Genomic DNA, 18,573 nt, shown 5'->3' on the forward strand with positions numbered 1-18,573 from the left:
TTAAGAATGTGTAGCATCTCCCTGCTGCTCCTGGTCCACATGTGAAGATGTGCCTGCTTTCCTTTCACCTTCCACAGTGATTGTAAGTTTCCTGAGGCCTCCCTAGCCATGCTTCCTGTATAACCTGCAGAACAGTGAGTCAATTAAACCTTCTTTCTTTATAAATTACCTAGTCTCAGATAGTTCTTTATAGCAATGTGAGAATGGATTAATACAATGTGTAGCTCTCCCTTCCACTTGAACACTTAGAGGCCATTGTAGGGTTATTAATTGGCCTAATTTCAATAATGTTTTGTCTCAGGGAATAGAGAGGCCTTAGAAGAAAGAGAGGGATGGGGGAACAGCTGGTAAGTGGAGCAGTCAGAACGCGTTATCAATTAAGTTCACCACCTTATACGGGTGCCATTCATGAAACCACAAAACAATTATAGTAGTAACACTAAAGATCGCTGATCACAGATCACCATAACAAATATAATAGTAATTAGAAAGTTTAAAGTATTCCCTAATTAGCCAAGTGTGGCACAGAGATGCAAAGTGAGCACATGCTGTTGGAAAAATGGTACAGATAGACTTGTTCTACACAGGATTGCCACAAATCTTCAATTTGCAAAATAAATAAATAACATCTGAGAAACACAAGAAAGCAAAGTACAATAAAATGAAATACACCTACATTTACTTAAGAGAAAAGAAAGCTACTTCCGTGCAAAGATGTGTACATGTATGTTCATTGCAGCTTTATTTGTAGCAGCCAAATGAGAAACAAGAAAAAGTCTTTTTGGGGAAAGCGTTGGCTTTCCCCAAATAAAACCATTGGAACACTTATTTTGGTACTTATTTTGGCAAGATTTTGTTGCCAGGAAGAAAAAAAGTCTAATTTTTTTAATGCATTCTTCACTGAGCATGCTGGTGAAGGATTTGAGTGATCTTCTCGCTGAATACTAGCGGCTTTCTCTTCCACCAAGCTTCTCTTTGCTCCTCTGGAGGAATAAAGGAGTAACAAAGTTAGAATGGGAAGGAGGGGAAATGGAGCTGGTCTTTCACTTCAAGTGTGATTGGTTTTCTCCTGAGGTATGTGAAACCAAACACAATCCACCACCGGAAGGAGTATTGCCCTTCCAAAAATCAACCCACTTAATCTGTACGAGAAAAGTGTGTTCTTCATATTAACATGAAGGAGCTATTTTTTTGCAAAATAACCACACTGTCCTTGCCATTCCCGTGCTAAGGGCTCCTATGCTCCTTCCTGCTCCAGTGACTTCCAGAGCTTCCTCATTTTACACAACAGTGAATAGTGGCAGTCAATCTGGCTTCTCTCCACTGCACGGGGCTTTTCTCATGACCACATTGAGGATTAGGTTGAGGCAGATGGTGGGATTGGGGCGGGAGTGTGCAGAAAGAAGTTTCAGTTCACTCTGCCACAAATGTATTATTTCCTCACGTAGACCGAATCCCAGCACACCACACATTAGCTGTGTGACCTCAGGCAAACTCCTTAACTACTCTGAGCCTCAGTTTCTCCATCAATAAAATAAATGTAATACTGTTGGTCCCAGTAAGGCCAACATTATTTATAACCCTTTGAACAGGGTTGTTGGAAGGGTTGTAAGTAATCTGCCGATCACTCCTTCCCTGGGATCTGGAGCTCATTTAGTGACAGATACTATCATTATTGTTGTTATTCTTACTTTGATGTATGCACCATACAAATGCATATATTTACATTACAAATCAACCTGGTTAATGAATACAAAGCTGCAATCGTACTTTCTTTTTAATTAACTTGCTGTGCCAGAGAGGTAATAAAAGGAATGAAATCAGCATTTTTTTCTCAATGTGCCTATCATCAATTAAGCATCTTGGTAAGTGCCTCTTTCCAAGGCTACAAATATTCCTGTTCCAACGCTTGTGGGTGAGCAGGGCCAGATGGAGAGGGTAGTGTGTCACTTCTCTGCTGTTCTGCCCTTATGCCCTTTGCAGAGAGGAGCCTGCTCAGGGCGTTTGCTTGTGAGTTGTGTGATTATGACTCCAACCTTGCAGAACCTTGACAGGGAGCAGAGTCCTGGGTTTTCATCAGGTGCTGCCAGTGGGTCTTTTCCATCTGACATATTAATTCCTGCCTCTTCCTGTAAAGATAATTCACGCTTCTTGGCGGCATTGTGCAGTGCACAATGCCGGGTGCCAGGAATCTCCTGCAAACTTCAGCAGGGCTGCATTGTAATGTGCCACTAGATTAATCCAGCCATCTAAAATGCATTTTTAAAAAGCCAAAGGTCCTTCCCATGAATAACCTGGTGAGTATTTGAGCTTCATTATAATTTCCCTCTAATGGAGTTTGGGGAAATGAAATGGGAGTTATTAGCCAGATTTATAAGGCTGTCTACTGAGAAAATAGGAATGAAGAGAGGCTGACTTAGCAGACAAGGTGCATTGGTTATCTACCTAGCCAAGGAGAAAGAGCTGGCCCACAGTTTGCAAAGATGGAAAATATCCTTACCCAGCAAACACTTGTCCTGTGCTTCCAACAGAAGGCTGGCTGTGCTTTCATAATCTGAGGAAGCATTGCACATACATCCTCCAGCGGCCCCCTTTCTATGCCTGAGTCTGAGATCCAACACTCCACGCTCAGAGCACATCATGTCAGTGATTCAAATGGACCATGCATGAAAACTCTCCCACTGGTCTTTGGAGGGTGGAAAACCACTTCATTCAAGTGCAGACGCAGGTATTGTATTGGAAATGGCTAGCCAAGGTTCCTGAAGGAGGAGGAAGCTCTTGCCCTCCAAATGAAGCCAAGAAAGACCCTGTTGCCTGGAAGAGACAGACCTGGCGAAGCAAGAGCCTGGGGGCTCTGCGCAGCCAGAGGACATCCTGCAGCCACCGGGTACCCTGCAAAGGCGAGGGGGGGCTCGCCTTGAGGGGAGGCTGGTGGGCAGGAACTGCCGGGCCCGCAGTCGAGCTGTTTTCCACTTGTCTAGGGTATATCACCTGCTTCTGCACTGCACTTAGATGAGCAACTATGACACTGATGTTCTTGTTAAGGAACTGCATTGTTTTGCTAGGGCTTCCATAACAAAGTACCACAGACTGGGTGGCTTACCCAATGAAAGTCTGTTTTCCCACCGTTCTGGAAGCTGAAAGTCCAAGATCAACCTGTGGGCAGGTTGGGTTTCTCCTGGGGCCTGTCTCCTTGGCTGGGAGGCAGCCGCCTTCTTGCTGTGTCCTCACATGGCCTTTCCCCTGTGCAAGCGCATCCCTGATGTCTCTGCATCTTCTTGTTATGACACAGCAGTATTGGGTTAGGGCCCACTCCAATGACCTCATTTTAACTTAATTACCATTGTAAGGATGCTGTCTCCAAAACAGTCACATTCTGAGGTGCTGAGGGTTGAACTTCAACAGATGTATTTGTAGGGACCAAATTCAGCCCATAGCAGGGACTTTTAGATGTTTTATTTATTTATTTTTATTTTGTTTTATTTTTATTTTTGGAGATGGAGTTTCACTCTTGTTGCCCAGGCTGGAGTGCAGTGGCACGATCTCAGCTCACTGCAACCTCTGCCTCCTGGGTTCAAGTGATTCTCCTACCTCAGCCTCCTGAGTAGCTGGGATTACAGGCACCAGCCACCGTGCCTGGCTAAATTTTTGCATTTTTAGTAGACGAGGTTTCATCATGTTGGCCAGCCTGGTCTCAAACTCCTGACCTCAGGTAATGCATCCACCTTGGCCTCCCAAAGTGTTGGTATTACAGGCATGAGCCACTGTGCCCGCCCAGACTTTTTATGATCACAATGTTCATATAAAGCCATAACTGTCACTGAGTACTGGGTATTTACTGGACTTCACCTGCATCTTCAAAACTGACACGTGAGGCAGGTAGCATTATTGTTCACACTTTAGAGATGAAGAAACTGAGGCACACTGCCATTAAGCACCTCATCTGGTTAGTGGCAGAGTTGCACCCATACAGCAGGTTGCCCAAGCCTGCGCTTCCGATCACCACATTATTCTGTCTCTTCTCCTGTGTTTGTGACAGAAAAATGTGCACACTCTAGAAGAGAAGAAAGAAAAGAAAAGCCACCCACAACTTCACCCATCTGGGCTTTGCATGTAGATGTGTATTGTGTGACATACTCTGTTTTCCTGTCCTCGTTCCTCCTTCACACCGGCTAACGTCTTTGACACAGCATTGTTGGTGGCAAGGCCAAAGGAGAGCTGTAGGGACTTAAAAACTGTGTCTGCGGCCTGGCACGGTGGCTCACACCTGTAATCCCAGCACTTTGGGAGGCTGAGGCAGGAGGATCACTTGAGGTCAGGAGTTCGAGACCAGCCTGGCCAACATGGTGAAACCCCATCTTCTACCAAAAATACAAAAATTAGCCGAGTGTGGTGTTGTGCACCTGTAATCCCAGCTACTTGGGAGCCTGAGGCAGGAGAATTGCTTGAACCTGGGGGGCGGAGGTTGCAGTGAGCAGAGATCAGGCCACTGCACTCCACCCTGGGCAGCAGGGTGAGACTCTGTCAAAAAAACAAAAACGAAACAAAAAACAAAAACAAAAAACTGTGTCTGCAAAAAATAAAAGAGCATGGGACAGTGTTAAGGATACAGGGTTGGGTGTAAGCAGCAGGTTCCTTAGCAATGTGTGCAGTATGAGCCCAATTTAAAACAAAACAAAACAAAACAAAAATTATCACCGGAATTCTAGGTAGATCTCTGGCTACTGAGCCTATGGGTGATATTCATTTTCCTCCTATATCACCTATATGTGTTTCCCATATTTTTCAAATGTGCTATAATGAGCATGTAGACACAATGACCTCTGAAAGCAGAAATAAAAAACAATAAATGTCCTAAGAGAAAAATTAAACTGTGCTGGCTCACAGCACGGCAGGTCCGATTCACTGATGCAGTCTCCATTCTGGAAGATTTCTGTGTTTGTGCCCAGAAGGGAAAACAAAGGCAGCAGACGGAGTCTGTGAGGAAATCTACTGGAAACAACATCCTGAGTGAGGAAAGCAACAAAAGAGCCACCTCCCTAAAAGCAGCCCAAAGTGGCAATTCAAATAGTAAAAATGACGCAGGGATTTGGAAACAAAATCCCAGCTTGCAGTCAGAGCTTCCTGAGCCAGTGAAAACAGCAAGTGCGGAAGAGGAAGCCCAGGCTGCCCCATGTCCCCAGGGTCCACGGCTGCCACCTTTGCCAGGACCCCTGGGGGCTCAGAGAGAGCTCCATTCTTCTCCTCCCAGGTGGAGGGTCAGCCCTGTGCCCCAGGTGCCCAGCAGTCTAGGGGGCATGCCAAGTTTTCCCTGTGGGGAGCAAGGCTGCCCTTGGACAGGAACCCAGAAATGGCCTGAGCCGGGCCGGGCATGTGTTTCACCTCAGGCCACCTGCTTCCTGCTGGGCTGCGCAGCCGGGAGCCAGCGAGGCGGACACAATGGGCAAGACCCACGTCACTTTCTTAGGGAAAGAAAATTACTCTTTGTGGACCGAGAGATCAAGACAGGATATCTATAAGTGTTTAAAGAAAAGCCCAGTCTGCAGTCCCCTCCCTCCCCAAGCACTTCCGAAATGTCCCTCAACACACCCGGCTCTTTAAATATCCAAACCCAGAATAAATGTGCACACAGCATTTCCCCCAGCAACGGGGTCCACGCGGCTGCCAGCTGAGTCACAGATGTTAGAGCTGGGCCGGGCCTCTGAGATCACCAAGTTCAGGCTAAGAGCAGAATGACCAGCTCTCGGTGCTTCTTCCCTGTGCAGACACTTGCTGGCTGTGTCACTGCTGGGCACCTCTCCTCTCTCAGTGGCTCCCTGGGCTGTGCTGGTGCCACTCAGGTCTCCCTGTGCCCTTAATAACCACTGAGCCACCCAGCCTAGGCTGCTAGGGCCATGCTTTTAAATGAGATGCTGAGTCTAGAGAGGAAAAAGGACTCGCTGCATTGCACAACTTGTTCCTGGCGTAACTGGAGCTAAAACCTGGCGTGACTCGTCTCCTCCAGCTCTTTCCTGGACTCTTATGGACGTCTTGCGTCTGACGATTGTTTTGTGGGGCCATCCTGTGATGGTGCGGGTGATTGCTATAGATTACAAGCTGTTGAATGTACTTTCTTTGAGATCCCTCCAGATAGGTTTAGACAGGCATTTTCTTAAGTTTTGGATTTTTATCAACTTGGACTATATCTATGGTTTGGTTTTGTTTTTCATAAAAATTCTTTTTGGCCTCTGGTAAAGATAAATTCCACCAGACCTCAAAATGTGAAACAGACACAAGCAGACCTGATCTGGTTGGAGCAGGAGCAAAATCCCAAAGCTCCCTCTCCTACAGCCTCCCTCTGCTGCACAACCCCCATGTCCTGGGACTCATAGCTCTGAGCAATCATTTGCAAAACACTGGGCCGTCAGTATCTGATGGACTTGCTCGTATCTGAGAATCTGTGATTCGTGATTATGTGACTGTAGATAATGAAGAAAACATCCCCAGGTTCCTACCCTATCCTCCACCTAACTTGGCAGCATAGAGTAACAAATAAGGATGAGGAGAGATCTGACAGGTGTGCTAAATTTAAATGCACCCAGGGGTCATCAGTGAAATGTACACGCCCAAGCCCAAAATAAATCATTCATTCTTTCATTCCTCCAACAAAAATCGACTGCTAGGCACAGCAGATTATATGCAGGAAAGTAATTCACAGCCTTTATTCTTAAGGAGGTTTGGGTTTTATGTAAGAAAGTCTGACATCTAAATACAAAGAAAATTATAAACACTTCCAATATAATGTCTTTCAGATTTTCATGATCAAGAGCCGCCCTTTCCAGCAAGAATCACCATCAATGGCTTCATGGAAGAAGTGGCATTTGAAGAATAGTGTGATTTTGACAGGTGGAGCTGGGAGAGGAGGGCACTTCAGAATGAGGAAGCAGCATATTCAAAGGCCTGGGGGCCATTTGGTCATACAGGCTGAACCATATTCACCTCTAGGAAGCACATTCAGGTAATAGTGAAGGGAAGGGCAGCCATGGAATCAGCCACGTGGCAGCCCTGCTGGAAAGCACAGGTGTGTTCAAGAAATCCTGAGCTTGGGCACACCATGGGAGGGATCTGAATGGGGAAGCAGAGAGATCAGGCAGGGACCAGGGCGTGGAGGGCCTGGAAAGCCAGACAAAGGCTGCACACAGTGGGAAGTTGCTAAGCATTTTTGAGCAGGTAAGTGGCAACAGGGTCAAGCTTTCGGAAGCTAGGCCTAGCCATGGTATGAGGGTGAAATGGGAGGAAAGGGATGGAAGGCCAGGATGTGGTTGAAATTACCGCTGCAATAAAGGGGACAGGGAAAGGGCCAACTGTCGGTGGGGCAGGTGGTGTGGCTGGAAAAGAAGGGATAGGTGCAAGAGAATTTTTTAAAGTCCCGGGAAAATCAGCCAGGCTTGACAAATAACTGACTTTGGAGGTCAGAGGAGTGGAACAGTCAGAGGGACCAGCCGGCCTGTTCTGGGAACCTGGGGAAGGAGTGGGGGTCTTTTGCACTTTTACGGGAGACCACAGGTGTTTCTGCAACTGGATAGGCAAACGAGAAGTTCGATTTTAGGCCTGGGATGTCTGAGATGTTGGAGAGAGAGCCAGTTCAAAGTACCAGCTCTACCCCAAGCAAGGCTTTCTTTATGTCACCACACACATGTGCACAAAAACTCCTCTTAGTGTTGATAGTGAAACAGCCTGACTTGGAAGGAGGGTTATCGATTCCAATAGGCCCCATACTGCATTTTCTCCATCTGATTTCTCTCGCCTTCTTCTCTCCTTCCCAGGGAACATGGGGCTCAATGTGAGAGAAAGTCAAAAATGCAACTTCCTTATGGCAAATATGGGCAACAATTAGAAGAGCAAGGAAGGGGAATTCCCCCCGGCCCCATATTTTCCAGCTGAGCTGTGCTTGTCAGGGTAAACAGCGACAAAAATAATCACAGTTGCTTGCCACTTGGAATACTATTATCTGAACAGTTGGTGGATATGAACTGTTTTTAAAACGGGCTATCAAAACAAACCCAGGGAGAACATCTGTGGGGCCACGGGCCTGCGAGCCAGCTAAGGAAGGAAGCCATAACCCGGCAGCCTCTCCATCAAGTGTCCTTGCTGGGCAGGCGAGGGGGCGTCCCAACGATCACGAGGATGGGATGGGGTGGCCCAGGGTGGGAGGAGGCAAAAACAGGAAAGCAAGGGTCCGGCATGCAAACCAATTCTGAGCAACATACAGAAATGCAACTTCTAGAAACAATGAGGCGTAGGTAACGCCGGACCTCGAGCAGCGATGGGAGGACAGGGTGGCTGCAGGTTCCACTGAAATAGCTTTAGGGCCTGGGGAAATCTGCAGTGAAAACATCGCATGTTATTTATAGCCATAAGTTGAAATCCGTGTTATTTAGTATGATGTTTATAAAAAATAAATGGTAGGCGGCCTTTCCTTCCTTGCTTCTCTGGCTGTCGAAGAAAGGTTTTTAGGTGCATACTTCTCTGCTTTGTTTAGCTTATTTTGCTTTTTAAAAAATGTAACGAATGAGGGCAAGGATAACAACTGTTCATTATTTAAAAGCTCAAATGAAACCCAGGCTGAGGCACCTGAACTTCCTGGAGGGAAAAGACAGGGAACCAGAGAGTGGGCGCCACGGTGGGAGAGCCGTGTCCCGCAAAGCCCAGATCCCTTCTTTCCTTCTCTTTGACCTGGGGCAGGGAACAGCTTTCAAAACAAAATTCTTACAGGGGGTTTTGTTTGTGGTCTTTGTGTGTGGTGAGTTTTTTTTAAGTAGAGAAAGGATTTCCACCGGCAGAATTGTTTCCTCCCCTCTATTCTGGTCCCCTAATCCCCTCAATAAACCTCATAAACACTCCCCGACTCTCTCTCTTGGGTCTCCCCATTGTGTGGGGTGCTTGTGTAAAAACTAATTGTACCCTATGGTTGAAGAATAAGAGGGCGGGTTTGATGTTTTGGGGGACAAGTTCAATTAAAGGAGGGAATGGAGATTATTTGAATGCCCTCTGGGCTGCAGATCTAAGGCCAGTTTTATTAGTAATTCTCCACTCAGTTTTATTAGTCATAAATACGATATTTAGATCTTAAAAACAAAAGCAACTGATGGCCCATGGGTTCATGTGCCAACTGCAGCCTGGAACAAGGGGAACAGTGATTGGAGATATGGCAAGAAGCCTGTAATCTTTGATGCAGAGGCTCTAGAACTGTCTTCCTCTTCTGCCCTGCCTGGGTGGGGTCCCACACAGAGAGCCCTGCCAGCCTCCCTGAGCCACGTTCTCTCTCTCTCCTCCCAGCCGTGAGAAACCGTGGCTTTGGGGATCCCATGGCCCCAAGGATGGAGAGTTCTCTAGCCAGAGCTGAAGGGACAGTCTTGGAGACTCCCAGACAGCACTCCGGGGGGCCTGGGAGGCAGGAGGCCCAGGAGGATTTCCTCTCTAAAGAGCCTGTCACTGTTCGGGGCTTTCCTTGCCCAGCATAAGGAAAACCTCATCTTTCAGCAATCACTGGCTCTCCAGATGAGTCCTTGAGAAGACCAGAGTGGAAGCAGCTTTGGAACTGGGTAATGGGTAGATGCTGGAACTGTTTTGAAGTGACTGCTGGAAAAAGCCTGTAATGCTTTGAATGCATTAATGATTATTCTGGCAAGGGCTCAAAACAAGAGAATAGATGCAGAAAAAGACTAAAACTTCTTAAAGATTACCTACCTGGTTGTGAGGGACCTGGTGGGAGGTGATTAGATCATGGAGGCGGACTTCCCCCTTGCTGTTCTTGTGATAGTGAGTGAGTTCTCATGAGATCTGGTTGTTTAAAAGTATGTAGCACTTCCCCTTTCACTCTTTTTCTCCCGCTCCACCATGGAAGAAGGTGCTTGCTTCCTCTTCACCCTCTGCAATGGTTCTAAGTTTCCCCAGGTCTCCCCAGCCATGCCTCCTGTACAGCCTGTGAAACTGGGTTGATTAAACCTCTTTTCTTTATAAATTACCCAGTCTTAGGTAGTTCTTTATAGCAGTGTGAGAATAGACTAATACAGAAAATTGATACCAGAGAAGTGGGGCATTGATATAAAGATACCTGAAAATGTGGAAGTGACTTTGGAACTGGGAAATGGACAGAGGTTGGAACAGTTTGGAGGGCTCAGAGGAAGATAGGAAGATGAGGGAAAGTTTGGAACTTCCTAGAGACTTGTTGAATGATTGTGACCAAGATGCTGAAAATGACATGAACGGTGAAATCCAGGCTGAGGTGGTCTCAGACAGAGGAACTTATTAGGAACTGGAGTAAAGGTCACTCTTGCTATACTTTAGCAAAGAGACTGGCAGGCATTGTGCCCCTGCTCTAAAGATTTGTGGAACTTTGAACTTGAGAGAGATGATTTAGGGTATCTGGCAGAAGAAATTTCTAAGCAGCAAAGTATTCAGGATATGGCCTGGCTGCCTCTAACAGCCCACATTTATTTGTATAAACAAAGAAGTGACCTGAAACTAGAACTTATATTTAAAAGGGAAGCAGAGCATAAACGTTTCAAAAATTTTCAGCCTAAACATGCAATAGTAAAGAAAAACCTATGTTCTGAGGAGGAATTCAAGGCTGTAGAAATTTGCATAAGTAAAGAAGAGCCGAATGTTAATAGCCAAGACAAAGGGGAAAATGCCTCCAGGGCATTTCAGAGACCTTAGCGGCAGCCCCTCCCATCACAGGCCCGGAGGCCTAGGAGGGAAAAATGGTTTCATGGGCCAGGCCCAGGACCCTACTTCTCTGTGCAGCCTTGAGACATGATGCCCTGCATCCCAGCCACTCCAGCTCCAGCCATGGCTAAAAAGATCCAAGGTAAGCTTGGGCCACTGCTTCAGAGGGTAAAAGCCCCAAGTCTTGGTGGCTTTCATGTGGTGTTGGGCCTGTGGGTATACAGAGGCAAGAGTTGGGGTTTGGGAGCTTCTGCCTAGATTTCAGAGGACGTAAAGAAATGCCTGGATGTGCAGGCAGAAGTCTGCTGCAGAAGCAGGGCCCTCGTGGAGAACTTCTACTAGGGCAGTGCAGAGGGGAAATGTGGGGTTGGATCCCTCACATGGAGTCCCCATTGGCGTACTGCCTAGTGGAGCTGTAAGAAAAGGGCCACTGTCCTCCAGATCCCAGAATGGTAGATCCACCAACAGCTTGCACCATGTGCCTGGAAAAGCCACAGACACTCAATGCCAGCCTGTGAAAGCAGCTGTGAAAGCACATGGGGTCATGTGGACTGGGGCAGTGTGGAGTGCCATACCCTGCAGAGCCACAGGGGTAAAGCTGCCTAAGACCTAGTGATCCCACCCCTTGCATCATTGTGACCTGGATGTGAGACACAGAGTTAAAGGAGATTATTTTGGAGCTTTAAGATGTAATGACTACCCTGCTGGGTTTTGGACTTGCAAGGGGCCTGTAGTCCGTTTGTTTTGGCCAATTTCTTCCTTTTGGGTTGGGGGCATTTACCCAACGCCTGTTCCTCCATTGTATCTTGGAAGTAACTAACTTGTTTTTAATTTAACAGGCTCATAGGCAGAAAGGACTTGCCTTGTCTCTGATGAGACTTTGAACATCAACTTTTGAGTTAATGCTGGAACAAGTTAAGACTTTGGGGGGCTATTGGAAAGGCTTTATTATGTTTTGAAATGTAAAAGGGACATGAGATTTGGGAGGGGCCAGGGGTGGATTGATATGGTTTGGCTCTGTGTCCCCATGCAAATCTCATGTCAAATTATAATTCCCAATGTTGAAGGAGGGACCCGGTGGGAGGTGATTGGGATTATGGAAGCAGATTTCTCCCTTGTTGTTCTTCTGATAGTGATCAGAAGATCTGGTTGTTCTCTGGAAGAGATCAGTGCCTAGGGCCCAACAGGAAAACAAGTGGCCAACCAGAGAGCTGGAATGGGGAGCAGTGGGAAGGGGGAGCATGCGGTCTACAGCAGTGAGAGGTAGGCACAGAGCCAGCCTGGGGGGTGAATGGCACAGGACACTAGAGAGGCAGGACAGGCCTCATGACTATTGCCACACATCCCTTCTGCCTCTTGGCTTGGGTTTGGATAGACAAACCCAAGCCAAGATCTCACAAGATCTGGTTGTTTAAAAGTGTGTAGCACTTCACACTTTACCCTCTCTCCTGCTCTGCCATGTGAAGAAGGTGCTTGCTTCCCCTTCACCTTCTGCCATGATTTTAAGTTTCCTGAGGCCTCCCCAGCCATGCTTCCTGTACAGCCTGCAGAACTGTGAGCCATTTCAACCTATTTTCTTTGTAAATTACCCAGTCTCAGGTATTTTTTTATAGCAGTGTGAGAACAGACTAATACAAAGGCAGAACTTAAAGGCAATGAACTACGATATCTAGTGGAAGAAATATCTAAGCAGCAAAGCATTCACGGTGCTGTGTGGCTTCTTTGAATTGCATATAGTAAAATTCAAGAGAAGATAAATGATGTAAAGATGAAATTTGTTATTAAAAGGGAAGCAGAAAAGAAATATTTGGAAAAGTCTCAGACTGGTCATATAAAGAATAAAAAGTGTTTGTGAGAGAATACTAAGAGTGTGACCAAGCCACTGTTTGCTCCTCTTTTTATAAAAGTGAGAGTGAGAGACGATGAGAGGTGAGTTGGGAAGGGTGAGGAGGAAGGCAGTAAAAATGAGACCAAGATGACAGAAAGGTGTGGGGTAAAGGGAAGCAAATGGGGCTGAAAAAAAATAAGGAAGAAAGGAAATGCACATTTATTCCACTTTTCCTGAGTGCCAGAAGAATACTAGGTATCTGCTGGGGCAGAGGTCCCCACACAAAGGTAATTTCATGAATGAAAGGATGCTCCATTCATTCATTTGTTCATCAGATATGTTTCGAAGCATTTCCTATGTGTCAGACACTGTTGTAACCATTGGTCACATGACAGAATGAAACCAAGGACAATGCCTGCCCTCATGGGGTCATGTGGACTGGGGCAGTGTGGAGTGCCATGGATGTTAGCTCACTCACTCACAGCAACTCCAAGAGGCTTGGAGAAGGTTATTGAGTTGCTCAAGGTCCTGTGGCCAGTAAGTGGTCAAGAGGGCCTTTCGACGAGGATTTCCTTGGCTTTAAGTCAAAACCTACTGAAAAAAGGAAAGCCCTGTGCTTTGAGAGGGTCACAGCAGGAAGTACCCAACATTCTTATGGGAATGGTACCAAGAAAATGTAGGCATCTCTGACAAAGCTGCCCTAGAACAGCCTCAGCTGGTACCTGGGGGCACTCCATATTGGCATTGAGAACATTAATTCCTCCTGAATTCAGGAGCTGAAGCTCAGGCATGGGCTGTGGAGCTGGCCTTGGGGTTTGAGTTTGGGTGAGGGTGTCAGGGAACCCATGTCTCTCTCCTCATCCCAATTTGGTCTCCAAGCCTCTGCCTTCCACACTGCCAACCTCCACCAGCTCTTGAGTCTTGTCTCTCCAAACCCAAGCCAAGAGGCAGAAGGAATGTGTGGCAGTAGTCATGAGGCCCGTCCTGCCTCTCTAGTGTCCTGTGCCATTCACCCCCCAGGCTGGCTCTGTGCCCACCTCTCACTGCTGCAGACCCCAGGCTCCCCCATCCCTCTGCTCCCCATTCCAGCTCTCTGGTTGGCCACCTGTTTTCCTGCTGGGCCCTAGGCACTGATCTCTTCCATCTCCGCTTCCTTCCTGGCCTTCCTCTCATTCATGCAGGATCTTTCCCTGTCTCGGGGGTTCTACATGCCTATCCGTGGGTTTGCAAAGCCTGACAGCCCTGCAATATGGGCTTGGTCCTGCTGTCCCTCTGGAAGCCCAAATTCACAACAATGAACTCACTTTCTTTCCCTGGATGAGCTGCTCCAAAGTTCAGCACCTCAGTAAGTGCTCCAATATCGTTCCTGCCACTCCAGCGGGGGCCTCCTCCCCTTCCCCATGCCACCCCCAAGCACAAAGGGGGTGTCCCCATCTCCAGTACTCCTACTTAGTCCTTAGCCTCCTGCCCACTGCACCCTCCCAACCCCTTCCCCAGATGTTATCCAGGATGAGCACTTGAAGATACAAGCCTGATTATCTCATTCGAACCAACCAACTCTTGTAGATCTTGAGCTTTTTAAAGCTTCTTTTTGGGCTTCCTTTTGCTAACAGACTTTTCTCAGTCTGATTCTAGCATGTCTTTTCAAGCCTCTGGTCCTATACCCCTTCACAGGCCTCCTGCTACACGCATACACACACATGTACACACACACACACACACATACATATACACCATACTCTGGCCACGCCCATCTAGTTATTCACACGTGCAGTCCCTGACAGAGTGCCAACATTTGCACTTGAGACATGACACTGATGCTTGTTACATTTATTAAACATACCACATGTATATGTCTTCTGTGCTTTTCCTCCTATTATTCCCTCTGTTGGGAATGTCATCCTCCCTTTCAGCCTAACATAGTCCTAGCCCTTCTCTTCAGGACCTGGCCCAACAGCACCTCCTCCATGAAACCTGCTTCCCTGATGTGTCTCTTACATTCCCACCATCCAAAAACTGACAGCTCTTGCAGGAGGGAGCCATGACGTGCTCATCTTCTGCATCTGCAGCTGGTGCCAGGGACCAGTACATTTGCTGCATGAGTGAATGAACCAACGTCCCAGCAATTCCTGAGCATTCTTAAGGCTGGTCTGTCTCCCCCAGGAAGCCTGGGCCCCCAGCGTCACCGAGCTGTGCACACAGAGAGATAATCATCTTAGTGTCCCTCTGGACCCGGAAGCTGGGTGGTGTCGCTAAGAAAGCCAGAACTGCTTTGCCTTCTATATTGCTACTGAAATTTGCAACTCAAGTGTTGCATAACCAAGGGAACCTGGCTTCCCTCTGAACATCCCTCCCACTTAGTTTGAGAAATAGAGAAAGAGCCAAAGTTAGGTCAAGACTCACCTGAGGAGGCCCCTGGCCCACCATCGAGGTCATGCCTGTCACTCCCCAGGCTGCCCCTCCCGGGGAACAGGGTCATGCGGGGTTAGGGGGCAGCTCACTCCCAGTGGGTAACTGGATTTCCCTGGGGAGGGGAACAAAGAGTGAGAGCATAGGCCGTTCTCACTTCAGACCAGGGAGATTGCGCACTCTCCCTCCTTCCCTCTTGGAGGGAACATCTGCAATTCAGGGACTTCTGCAAAAATTTCACACTCAGGGCTAAGAGCAATTCTATTTCTTGGAGGATTCTAACTTGGCTTAGAGGAGGTTTTTACCCTCCTCCAGTTAAATGGACCAAGTATGTGGGAAATTACCTCACAGAGTCATGCCACCAACACCAAATGAGAGCCATCTGTACAGATGAAACAGTTAGGAGCTTTTGTGTCACTGCGGGCCGAAATGTGTAGCCCATTCATTGTGAGAGGAGGCACTTTATTCCTGAGTTTCTTTTTTTTTTCTAACACAGAAGACGCCTCAGTCAGCGCGTAGGAAACAGGAAGGAACCCGTTGTTTTAAATAGCAGACAGCAGAGAATTGACTCATTATGGTCTGCTTGCTCCGAGAGTGTCAGCCAGAAGGCAGCCAGCCCAGCCCCCACAGCCCCAAGACAAGGGTCAGGGGGCATGGCTGGGATTTTCTCACAGGGAGTCTGAGAGAATCCAGTTCAAACCCTTTTCAGAGGGAACTGGTGAAGCCCTAGGTTTCTATCTTACTAGAGACTTCACCACACAGGGCTGTCTTAAAAAAATATAAGAATAAGAAAAGACAAAAACAAAAGCCCCCGTAAAAACCTACAAGAATACCTGGAAGTCAGACATCCTGTGTTTCCCTTTCCTACCCCGAATGACTCGGAGTAGGACAAACACAGTTGCAAGCCTGCTTTCTTATCTTGGCAATTGCTTCTTTTCACTCTTCTGGGGTTTACAACAGTTGGCCCAGGGGTGTGAGGGAACAGAAGGGAGCAGCATCTGCTGGGACAGAGGGCCCTACACAAAGGTAATTTCATGCAGGGAAAATGCACCCCCCCACCCAATCCCAGGCTGCTGGGCCCAGGAGCCCAAGGGTTAATCTGTCTCAAATCCATCACTGTGACAGCCAAGCACACAAATTAGTCCTGCCCAAGCTGTCCCGACCTCTGAATTTAATTTTTTAAAAGTGCTTTGTATTGTTTCTGATGTTCAGATTGGAGTCCAGGTGTCGTGATGGAACCCGGGGGAGATGAGAGGGTAAGACCCTCGTGTACTGCATCTCACATCACCCTCCAATGTCCTGTGTCTTCTTTGTCAAGGCAGACTAAGGGTGACCTAATTTCCAACACGCAGGCCCAGAAACCTTGAAACTGACCAGCTCGAGCCTCCTTGTAAGCCTCTCCAGCTGTGAAAATCCCCTGGCTCGTAGTCCTATGTCGTCCACATGATGCTTTTCCTGCATTTTGCAGACAACTGCTGATCCCCAAGGGCGGGCCATGCATGGCTGTATCTCCCATCCAGAGAACATCTACAAAGCTCACGCAGCCATGGGGTCTCATAGTTTGACCTGAAACTGATGGTGACTCCTGTCACCAACAGGAGTGGTCAAAACATCCTTTCTGGAGTATTAAGTGTTTGTAGAACCCTGGACATTTATGGTGGCAGAGTGTGTAGCAGCCTCAAGGAGAAATCTTCCCCCTCCATTGCCCCTTTCTAGAATCACACCAAATAATTGGGGTTCTCAGCAGAGTCTGGAGGCAATCCCAGAGACTGAGGAAAGGGAGAGCCTTCCACTTTTCCATTTCTCCCAAGCCATTTTGTATGCCTACAGGTGTCAGTATAAACCAAAGAATGTGCCTTGTCTCAGATGAAAAGTTAGAGTAACCATATAATTTATTGTCTAAACCTGGACACCGATGAGAGTGAAAAGGAGAGCTATTAATAACGATGCCAGAACGACAGGTGTAGATGGTGACTGTCCCAGGCAAACTGGGACATATGGTCATGCTATGACTGTGAGCTCTAAATTGGTGCAGGCTCCTGTGCTGGCTGTCTATTAGGTTTATGTATAATATAATACCCAAGTGACCCTAGGTCCACAGGGTAGAGGGGTTGAGGAGGGTAAGGAAGGTCAGCAACCATGCCTGTCTGAAGGCCATGTGGAGGTAGGGAATGGGGAGAAAGGGGATCAATTTAATCCAGAAAAAGCTGACTCTGCTACAGACTTGAGGAAATCCAGGTCCTTTTTCTTGTCTGAACTGCTACTTGCTCTCAGCAAAGAAATTGAGTTCTGCCAACTCCCACTCCAGCTGCAAAATGCAGCAGAGTCCTGGGCCTTGAGGTTGGAATTCCAGGCCCACTATCCCCACTAGCTTCTGTGAGTCCATCAGAAGATAGGACCTCAGATCTGCAACATTTACTTATCCTTGGCTTTCTGTCAAAAAGTCCAAGCAGATGGTATTCTCCTTCATCCCTTCTTACAGACAGTGACAGATCCACTGCTCAAAATCCTTTTCCCACCCTAAGCAAGGCTATAGCAGAAACCATCTTCTTCTAGGCCTTACATGTTTAACCTAGCCAGCCAGAGGTTTATAAAAGACAACTTCCTCTATTTCCAGAGGTGAAAAAAAGCTAAAGTAGTCTATTTAAAATTTTCTCTCCTCAGACCCCAAAGAATAAAAAAACTTTTTAACTATTGGATGGAAATTCTTTTTTGTTCACTTAAAACAGATGATCCCCTTCTAGAGTAGAAACAGTTAATTGGTCTACAAAATAGTATTCTATAACATGTCTTATCCTTATCCCCAGTCTGTAAGCAAAAATTATATTGAAATCAAATTGAAATGATCCAAAGCGGCTACAAAGATAAAATTATTCTTCCAGAAACATGGTACTGTGGATAGAGAATTCAAGAAAACTCCTTTAGATGTCATATATACCACAACATATCACTTGAAAAAGAAAAAAAATCCTTTATGTAACCATAAAAAATAAGATACTCATATTTTGCATTCTTATATAAATTCAATTGAATAATAGATTAGAACTTAAAATCAGTTTTTGTCAGAGTCAGTTCTCTCATTATCACGCTTTCCTTTTCCCTGAATAAAACTATTATTAGTGGACTCATAATTTACTAGACTTTTGCCAAAAGACAAAGACTTTTACTTTGTTCATGTTTTTGCTTTAAGAAAAATATTCAATAAATATTTGATAAGTGTGTAAATAAAAAGTCATACTAAGCATCAAATTATAGCAATAAATATAAATGGCTTATATTTCTCCAAAGCCTCAGATTGAACTGAAAAAGCAAACTTCAATTTTCTGCTTACAAGAGTTATATCTAAAACAAGCCAAGTGTGGTAGCTCACACCTGTAATCCCAGCACTTTGGGAGGCTGAGGTGGGCAGATCTTTTGAGGTCAGGAGTTCAAGATCAGCCTGGCCAACATGGTGAAATCCCATCTCTACTAAAAATACAAAATAGCTGAGCATGGTGGCATGTGTCTGTAATCCCAGCTATTTGGGAGACTGAGGCAGGAGAATCAGAATCCCTTGAACCTGGTGGGTGGAGGTTGCAGTGAGCCAAGATCATGCCACTGCTCTCCAGCCTGGGCAACAGAGTGAG

At 46.6% G+C, this 18,573-nt stretch overlaps 1 long non-coding RNA gene across 1 annotated transcript, besides 3 other annotated features; it reads right to left on the reverse strand.

Moving 5' to 3' along the window:
• Window positions 1-717: 717 nt before the first annotated feature.
• MACORIS (macrophage enriched lincRNA repressor of IFN-gamma signaling) lies at window positions 718-15,083 on the reverse strand. Its single transcript, NR_184023.1, has 2 exons — window positions 14,942-15,083; window positions 718-983 (listed from the first exon to the last, which is right to left on the reverse strand). It is a non-coding gene; the product is annotated as a macrophage enriched lincRNA repressor of IFN-gamma signaling (long non-coding RNA).
• Window positions 2,283-2,844: an enhancer, noted in NCBI's record as "H3K4me1 hESC enhancer chr10:31983575-31984136 (GRCh37/hg19 assembly coordinates)". NCBI's record gives its function as "activates a minimal SCP1, AML or CMV promoter by ChIP-STARR-seq in naive H9 embryonic stem cells {active_cell/tissue: H9 hESC(naive)}" and the evidence as "EXISTENCE:reporter gene assay evidence [ECO:0000049][PMID:30033119]".
• Window positions 2,845-3,406: an enhancer, noted in NCBI's record as "H3K4me1 hESC enhancer chr10:31984137-31984698 (GRCh37/hg19 assembly coordinates)". NCBI's record gives its function as "activates a minimal SCP1, AML or CMV promoter by ChIP-STARR-seq in naive H9 embryonic stem cells {active_cell/tissue: H9 hESC(naive)}" and the evidence as "EXISTENCE:reporter gene assay evidence [ECO:0000049][PMID:30033119]".
• Window positions 15,332-15,521: an enhancer, noted in NCBI's record as "active region_3242". NCBI's record gives its function as "activates an Ori minimal core promoter by ATAC-STARR-seq in GM12878 lymphoblastoid cells {active_cell/tissue: GM12878}" and the evidence as "EXISTENCE:reporter gene assay evidence [ECO:0000049][PMID:35858748]".

This window comes from Homo sapiens, chromosome 10 (assembly GCF_000001405.40).
Source record: "Homo sapiens chromosome 10, GRCh38.p14 Primary Assembly".
Classification (NCBI taxonomy): Eukaryota; Metazoa; Chordata; class Mammalia; order Primates; family Hominidae; genus Homo; species Homo sapiens.